Source organism: Homo sapiens, chromosome 22 (assembly GCF_000001405.40).
Source record: "Homo sapiens chromosome 22, GRCh38.p14 Primary Assembly".
NCBI classification, from domain to species: domain Eukaryota; kingdom Metazoa; phylum Chordata; class Mammalia; order Primates; family Hominidae; genus Homo; species Homo sapiens.
Genome location: NC_000022.11, coordinates 38701748 through 38709564, shown reverse-complemented (window position 1 = coordinate 38709564; position 7817 = coordinate 38701748). Strand labels below are relative to the sequence as shown.

Below are 7817 nucleotides of genomic sequence, written 5' to 3'. Positions count from 1 at the left end.
CCCTATTACCTTAGACAAGAAGTTCCTTTGCTTTGTGCTTCATTTCCTCTTATGCAAATAGAGAGTACTGGAGGTAAAAAGGAAGCATCTGTAAAACTGCTTGGAAAGTCAAGCATATTATGGCCACTAAGGTCAGAATTAACATTCACTTTGTACTTTTATGTACTCCAAACAGTTCTGCAGACACTAAAGAATCACTGTAACTGAGACACATAAGCAGAAAAGTTCAAAAAGCGGGGAAAATGTGCTCTAAATAATTTCTTTTTTTTTTTGAGACAGAGTTTCACTCTTGTCGCCTAGGCTGGAGCACAATGGCACGATCTTGGCTCACTGCAACCTCCGCCTCCCAGGTTCAAGCAATTCTTCTGCCTCAGCCTCCCAAGTAGCTGGGATTACAGGCGCCTGCCACCACTAATTAGCGCCCGGCTAATTTTTTGTATTTTTAGTAGAGATGGGGTTTCACCATGTTGGCCAGGCTGGTCTCGAACTCCTGACCTCAGGTGATCCACCCGTCTTGGCCTCCCAAAGTGCTGGGATTACAGGCGGCAGGGCCACCGCACCCGGCCCAATAATTTTTAAAAATAAAGTGAAAGGAAAACTATGCTCACCTGATCCCTGCCCAATGACATATATGGTCTCTCCGCATCCCTCGTCCATCCTCTCCCACATCTGCCGAAGTAGGCTGTCATACTGCTCTGATGTAGGGCTCACTAGAACCAGCTAGAAAAGAAACCAACAGCCTTAGGACCACACTTGCTAGAAGAGCACCACAGCCAAAGCTGATCAATATAGCCTAACCAAAGATCCTGACTGAACCCCATAGCACCCTCATCTAAAAAGGCTGCACAGCCCCTTCATGCCCTCTCTGCTTCTCCTGAAGTAGCCTTTGAGCCTCAGGCCTTATATGAGCCAAATAATATACTACAATGTGTATGTCTGAGCCATAACCCATGGTAAAGAGGGCACAAGCAGCCTGCCTCCTGCTGCTTAACAGGAAGGGCAGGACCCAAGTGACTGAGAATATGGCACTGTGGATAGAAAGCGCAGTGCTTTCCATCTACATGCCAAAGTCTTCTACCTGCAGTTGGCATCTGGAAGCCCACAAGACATATACCTCATATACCTCCATGCCCTCCACCCACAGGCCAGTGGCTTCCAGGATAACAAAAGAATTCTGTTCTATCTTGTCTTAGCTATATTGAATATTTGGGAATGAAAACTGCCTGCAAGACTCATCTTCATCAACAAAGCACCATCACCATTACCACTACGAGGAGTATTAGCACCGTCATTTTGCAAATGTCTGCCAATAACATTGAAGTGTCAACCATTTACTTGGGTAAGCCATTTGGCAATCAGACCCCATTCTCTAACCACTCCTGTGTGACCTTGGACAAAGAATTTAACCACTCTGAGTTTCAGTTTTTCAATCTATAAAACGGAGCTAATACTACCTGCATCCTAAGGCCACTGTAAAGAGCAAATATAATAACATGTAAAGCATCTAGTCCACAGCTCAATAAATGTGAAACTACAAGGTTTTCTTCACCCAATCATTCCCAGAAAAACCTTGTTGGATGAAACTAGCCACCACTATTCACTAAGTGTTTCTCCCTTTGGAAGCTCTCGGAGCCTTAGGTCTCCACATTTTCTATCGTAAGGACATGAACCTTTCGCTTCTAATCTGTTCCTCCGGAATCAATCTATTCAACCCAACCCTTCTCTCCCTCCACACCATCACTTTTTCTTTTTGATATCATCGATATTAATATACATATGATTTTTTTTAATTGTAAGGAGGACTTCCCCAGCTATGTGATGAAATAACACTTCTAGGAATATTAAATGAGCTGGTCAAGAAATGAAGGTACTACCGTCTTTGCAACTCTGCCCTGCAATTTCCTATCATGTTTCTTCAGCACCTTGACCATGTGTTGACATCCAGTTTGTTTGCTCTTGAGTCAGGTCCATAATCTTGTAACTTCCTGAGTTGACTCATCAGAGCTTGTAATTGTAACCTGGATGTTTCCTGGGTCTTTTACATCGTCCTGGCCATCCCTCTCTCTAAGTTTGGCCATCCTCATTATGGCCTTACAGGCACAAGACAGGACCAACTTTGACAGGCTAGCTGGCTTCCAAGTGCTCACCTGAGACTACAATGGCAAAGAGCAGTTGAAAATAACTTGCTTAGGTTGCAGGGAAAGTTCCTCCCCAGTTTAGGACCAAGTTTCATGCAAATTTGCCGCCATAAACTATAAAAAGTCACAAACATTTTCAAAGCTGGATAAAATGTCTATCGTAACTATCCTACAAATGTAAGTGGTGGTATTGGTGTTCTATCTTTCACCCACTGCTATTTAATCTGCACAGGAAATTAGGAACTATCTCGTTCACTTCAAACATTTACTGAGTCTCTAGTATGCATCAGGCACTATTAGGTGTCTTCTTAAATATTTCTAATTTTTACAACCCATCTGTACTTTCTTAAGATGAGGTGGTTGGAGAACTGAAAGGTTAAGAAACTTTCCCAACGTCACAGAGCCTTTCGATGGTAGGGCAGGAAAGGGAACCCAGCCCTGTCTGACTCCCAAGTTGGCATTCTTTCCCTAAGGAACGTTAAGCACCTTCAAAACACCAGTCACATCTTGTATTTACTTTTCTATTCTTCACAATGTCAAGCCGTTGGCGAGGCCTTAATTCCTGCCTACCTTCTCGACAGCTCAAAAAACACGGTTTTAAACGTCCTTCACTGCTCCACTCATACAAGATGAGCTTCCACTCACAGGATAGCGAGACTAAGGAGCCTGACCATCTTTCCATTTTGTTTCGGGTGGCCTCGAAAAGTAGACATTCTCGGACATGCTCCTCCCCAGCTGAGCGACTACTTTCTGTTTCCTTTCCCGAGTCTGGGAAGAGACGCGGCGGCCACCCTGCCCTGGCCTCCGACTACCTGTCTTCATGAGCGTCTCGGCCCCCTGCCCGGGCCCCCTCGCCCCTCTGCTGTCCCGCGCGGTCCAGGGAGAGGAGACTCTCGGTCTCCGAATCCCCTCAAGTGGGGACCCGAAGAACGGGGAGGGGCACTGAGCGGGGACAGGGAACGCGCGGAGCGCAGCTGGCATCGGGCGCCCCCGTTCCACGTGGCAGAGCCGAGGGGTTACGATCTCGGCGGGAGACGGGAGGGCGGGAGGCTGGGTTGGCGACGCGGGGGAGCCAAGGTGGGTGCGGGGACCATGGGGACGGCCCCTCGCGCCGCGAACCCCCGCACGTCCCGGAGACTAGCAGGTGGGCGGGCTCGGCCCCTTCTTCCCGTTCCGCGCTCCCCGCGGACAGGGCGGCCGCTGGCCCCGCCGTCGCCCGGGAGACTGCTCGGCCAGCCGCCCGCTCCCCTCAGCGCCCGCCGCCGCCGCCCGGGCCTACCTTGCTGGTGAGGTCCAGCTCTGGCTCGCCGTTGAGCGCCTCGCCGTCCTCGCTGCAGTCCGAGTCAAAGCCGCCGTGGAGTCGGGCGGCGGCCGCCGCGGCCCTGGCCGCCCCCGGGGAGCTGGGCTCGGGGGCGAACATAGAGGCCGGGACCGGCGAGTCCATCGCGGAGCGACTGCGCTCCGTCGCCATCTTTAATAACTTAGGCTAATTCGTAGCCGGCTTCCCTCCCTCCCAGGCTCATTTGACTAATCTATGCACAGAGCCCCGCCCCGCTCCTTATCGGAATAATTTATGCAAAACTCCAGCCGCGTACTGGGTGACACGTACCTCTAGCTAAGAAACAGTCGACTAGGCCTCTCAGCCACCAATCCCTGCAGAGCTTTCAAGTACCTAATGAATAATTAATGAGGCCCAAATCCCAACAACAAATGTCTGAGACGTCACGCGCCCTGCTCCCAGCTTGGGAGGGGGCAGTACCGAGTCCCCGCTACCCGCCTGAAGCCTTCCCGCCAACGGAAGCAGAGAAGTGTCTGACTGACACAGCAGCCATCCAATGAGGAGAGAAATACAAACAACGTTACTCGTCAACGCCCCTTCACTCTCCTTGTTTCCAGAGGCGGTACTAAGCCTGCAAATCTTACTGCAAAACAGTAGGCGCTGTAAGCCTTCCGATGACGGACAAGGGCAGGACCCAATCGAGTCATAGAACAGGTCCCGCGCCTGGACCTGCTCATGGAGATAGTAAACTGCAAAATGAGCCTCCCACTCGATTCAGTGACTGAGGCAGTTGCTGGAACGCCGATGTCCAACGTGCTGGCATGCTCCAGGCAACTTTAATAGTAGGATCGATGCTGTAAGTTCCAAGAGTTGTAATACTATAGCAGCCAGAGTGAGGCAATAATTAAATGCTGACCTTAGGGAGAATTCTCCATTCACTGCCTTTGCGGAGGCAATCACACGAACTAAAAACAGAGGCAAGCAGCTAAAATTAAAAGCCAAAAAACACCTCACCACTTTTGTGGTGAACTGCTAAACCGAAATCTAGGGTCTCATAAGGTAGTTTCCTATGGATTATTTTTCCAGTGTCATCAGTTGTGAAAAGCCCCAACCCAAAATGCCATCAACACACGTTTTAGTGTCTTGAATTCCTGTTTCAAAAGCCGGAAAAGCCTAGGCCGTCATTGTTTGGCGAAATTAGGGATTAACCAACGTCTATGAATGTCGGCCTTGGCCACTCGAACCAGGCATCAAGCAAACAAGAGCATGTTTGAGAAGATAAGGAATCCAAGACTTAGGGTTTGGACCTAAACCCTAAATCTTTAGTGAGCAAGTGGCAGGATTGAAAATGGCTTTCAGTTTTGGGGATCTACCTGAGAAGAAAGAGACAGTCTCTTCTTGTCCCTGTTTTCCACTACTATCAAGTCTTATTTGCACAAACACAGCTGGGAATCTTGGACAGGAAGTCATCTGATTCCAATGGTCTTGATACTGTTCTTATGTGCTTTTTAATTTCTTCCTTGCCAAATTGCTCACCTCCATCCTATATGGGCCGGGAGCAATGGCTCACACTTGTAATCCCAGCACTTTGGGAGGCTGAGACGGGTAGATCACCTGAGGTTAGTAGTTTGAGACCAGCCTGGCCAACATGGTGAAACGCTGTCTCTACCAAAAATTAGCTGGGCGTGGTGGCATGTGCCTGTAATCCCAGCTACTCTGGAGGCTGAGGCAGGAGAAGCCCTTGAACCCGGGGGGGGGGGGGGGGGGCGGAGGTTGCAGTGAGCCAAGATCACACCACTGCACTCAAGCTTGGGCAACAGAGCGAGACTCCCACTCACAAAAAAACAAAAAAACAAAAAAACAAAAAAAAAAAACAACGAAGTACTGGAGGCCTGAACTCATAACTGGCTTCTAAAGGAGGGGCACAGTTTTGTGGGACTGAGCCCTTAATCAGTGGGATCTGACAGTATCTCCAGGTAGACAGTGTGAGACGAATTGAATTGAACTAGAGGACATCCAGCTGGCGTCCCCTGCAGCACTGATGGGTTGCTGGTGGGGATAAATCCACACATTTTGGTGACCAGAGGTGTTGTGTTGTATTGAGAGTAGAACATTTTAAAAAACAGATTTTGGCTTTTCCTTTATGGCCCAGATTGATAGCATCTCACCAACTGGCTCTTCCAAAGAGTTCAAGTCGGCCGGATGCGGTGGCTCACGCCTGTAATCCCAGCATTTTGGGAGGCTAAGGTGGGCAGATCACCTGAGGTCGGGAGTTCGAGACCAGCCTGACCAACATGGAGAAACCCCGTCTCTACTACAAATACAAAACTAGCTGGGTGTGGTGGTGCATGCCTGTAATCCCAACTACTCAGGAGGCTGAGGCACAAGAATCGCTCGAACTCGGGAGGCAGAGGTTACAGTGAGCCAAGATCGAGTCATTGCACTCCAGCCGGGGCAACAAGAGCGAAACCCCATCTCAAAAAAAAAAAAAAAAAAAAAAAAGAGTTCAAGTCCAGAATGTGCTGACAGCTAATAGCGAACTAAAAAAATACCCTTTGCACTATAGCCTTTACCCAGAAAAGAACTCTCAGAGCAGGTACTTTTGAATTGAACAGGGAACTCTATCATGACATTTTATAGAAGGAATTCCTTACCCTACCCATCTACACGTCTTTCCGAAGAAAAGTTGGAGCCTAGGTTCAAATTCTGTATTCACTATGTACTGGGTTCACATATCATATGTATGTGACCTTTTAAGCAAGTTAACTTCTTAGAGCTTGTTTTCTCCTTTAAAGAAATAAAGTATCTAATAGGATAAAATCAGCTGTAAATGAACTAATATATGTAAAGCACTTAGAACACTGCTTGCTGCAGAGCAATCCCTCAAACTATTCATATGTAAATATAACCATAGCCGTGGGTAGCTTACAAATTACTTTTTTTTTTTTTTTTTTTTTTTGAGATGGAGTCTCTGTTGCCCAGGCTGGAGTGCAGTAGCACGATCTCGGCTCACTGCAAGCTCCGCCTCCCAGGTTCACGCCATTCTCCTGCCTCAGCCTCCCGAGTAGCTGGGACTACAGGCGACCGCGACCACGCCTGGCTATTTTTTTTTTTTTTTTTTTTTTTGTATTTTTTAGTAGAGATGGGGTTTCACCGTATTAGCCAGGATGGTCTCAATCTCCTGACCTCATGATCCGCCCGCCTCGGCCTCCGAAAGTGCTGGGATTACAGGCGTGAGCCACCACGCCCGGCCACAAAAATTTAATTCAAAAGTTGGCTGGACAGAGCCAGAGGGCTCCTCACCCTGAGGCAGGCACTCCAGCGTGTTAAATCATAACGTTGAGGGTAATGGTGTTAAAATAGTCACGTTTGCCAGGTGCAGTGGCTTACACCTGTAATCCTAACACTTTGGGAGGCCAAGATGGGCAGATCACCTGAGCCCAGGAAAGAGTTCGAGACCAGTTTGGGCAACGTGATGAAACCCCACCTCTACAAAAATAAAAATAAAAATTAGCCAGGTGTGGTGATGCATGCCTGTAGTCCCAGCTACTCAGGAGGCTGAGGCAGGAAGATCGCTTGAGCCCAGAGGCTGTGGGTTAGCCGTGAACGCGCCACTGCACTCCAGCCTGGGAAAGAGAGCAAGACCCTGTCTCAAAAATAATAAAACTTCAGGCCGGGCGCGGTGGCTCACGCTTGTAATCCCAGCACTTTGGGAGGCCGAGGCGGGTGGATCTCAGGAGTTCGAGACCAGCCTGGCCAACATGGTGAAACCCCGTCTCTACTAAAAATACAAAAATTAGCCGTGCGTAGTGGCAGGAGCCTGTAATCCCAGCTACGCGGGAGGCTGAGACATGAGAATCGCTTGAGTCCAGGAGGTGAAGGTTGCAGTAAGCCGAGATCGCCCCGTTGCAATTCAGCCTGGGCGACAAAAGTTAAACTCCATCTTAAAAAAAAAAAAAAAAAAAAAGGCCGGGCACGGTGGCTCACTTCTGTAATCCCAACACCTTGGGAGGCCAAGGCGGGTGGATCACCTGAGGTCGGGAGTTCGAGACCAGCCTGACCAACATGAAGAAACCCCTCTACTAAACACACAAAATTAGCCGGGCGTGGTGGCGCATGCCTGCAATCCCAGCTACTCGGGAGGCTGAGGCAGGAGAATTGCTTGAACCCGGGAGGCGGACGTTGCGGTGAGCGGAGATCATGCCATTGCACTCCAGTCTGGGCAACAAGAGCGAAACTCCGTCTCCAAAAAACAAAACAAAACAACTAAATTTGAAGTGCAACAGTTTCTTCTCGTTTTTCCAGTTTTACAGAAAACCCAAAAGAAGGGCAGCTAAGGTGGATAATGATGCCTACCACGCACCCTAAGAGTAGGTAAAGGGGAAAAAATGAAATCCACG

The 7817-nt window shown here is 48.9% G+C and overlaps 1 protein-coding gene across 9 annotated transcripts in view, besides 8 other annotated features; it reads right to left on the bottom strand.

Moving 5' to 3' along the window:
• GTPBP1 (GTP binding protein 1) overlaps positions 1–3621 on the bottom strand; it is a 37172-nt gene extending 33551 nt beyond the window's left edge. For 8 of the 9 annotated variants that reach the window (XR_937967.3, XM_011530537.3, XM_047441614.1 and 5 more), the window contains exons 1-2: positions 3418–3621; positions 609–720 (exon numbers count right to left, since the gene is read on the bottom strand). Coding sequence is in view for 8 of the 9 variants with exons in the window: in XM_011530537.3 (XP_011528839.1) it covers positions 609–720; positions 3418–3609 (304 nt within the window). In the remaining variant the exon portion in view is untranslated. Of the gene's footprint in view, positions 1–608; positions 721–3417 lie in introns of those variants that run through there. The other variant, XM_017029101.3, reaches the window with a different exon arrangement.
• Positions 2806–3491: an enhancer, noted in NCBI's record as "H3K27ac hESC enhancer chr22:39102079-39102764 (GRCh37/hg19 assembly coordinates)". NCBI's record gives its function as "activates a minimal SCP1, AML or CMV promoter by ChIP-STARR-seq in primed H9 embryonic stem cells {active_cell/tissue: H9 hESC(primed)}" and the evidence as "EXISTENCE:reporter gene assay evidence [ECO:0000049][PMID:30033119]".
• Positions 2806–4177: a biological region, named in NCBI's record as "hESC enhancers GRCh37_chr22:39101393-39102078 and GRCh37_chr22:39102079-39102764".
• Positions 2973–3112: a silencer, noted in NCBI's record as "silent region_13729". NCBI's record gives its function as "represses an Ori minimal core promoter by ATAC-STARR-seq in GM12878 lymphoblastoid cells {active_cell/tissue: GM12878}" and the evidence as "EXISTENCE:reporter gene assay evidence [ECO:0000049][PMID:35858748]".
• Positions 3293–3702: a silencer, noted in NCBI's record as "silent region_13728". NCBI's record gives its function as "represses an Ori minimal core promoter by ATAC-STARR-seq in GM12878 lymphoblastoid cells {active_cell/tissue: GM12878}" and the evidence as "EXISTENCE:reporter gene assay evidence [ECO:0000049][PMID:35858748]".
• Positions 3492–4177: an enhancer, noted in NCBI's record as "OCT4-NANOG-H3K27ac hESC enhancer chr22:39101393-39102078 (GRCh37/hg19 assembly coordinates)". NCBI's record gives its function as "activates a minimal SCP1, AML or CMV promoter by ChIP-STARR-seq in naive and primed H9 embryonic stem cells {active_cell/tissue: H9 hESC(naive and primed)}" and the evidence as "EXISTENCE:reporter gene assay evidence [ECO:0000049][PMID:30033119]".
• Positions 3793–3942: an enhancer, noted in NCBI's record as "active region_19016". NCBI's record gives its function as "activates an Ori minimal core promoter by ATAC-STARR-seq in GM12878 lymphoblastoid cells {active_cell/tissue: GM12878}" and the evidence as "EXISTENCE:reporter gene assay evidence [ECO:0000049][PMID:35858748]".
• Positions 4023–4172: a silencer, noted in NCBI's record as "silent region_13727". NCBI's record gives its function as "represses an Ori minimal core promoter by ATAC-STARR-seq in GM12878 lymphoblastoid cells {active_cell/tissue: GM12878}" and the evidence as "EXISTENCE:reporter gene assay evidence [ECO:0000049][PMID:35858748]".
• Positions 4178–4863: an enhancer, noted in NCBI's record as "H3K27ac-H3K4me1 hESC enhancer chr22:39100707-39101392 (GRCh37/hg19 assembly coordinates)". NCBI's record gives its function as "activates a minimal SCP1, AML or CMV promoter by ChIP-STARR-seq in primed H9 embryonic stem cells {active_cell/tissue: H9 hESC(primed)}" and the evidence as "EXISTENCE:reporter gene assay evidence [ECO:0000049][PMID:30033119]".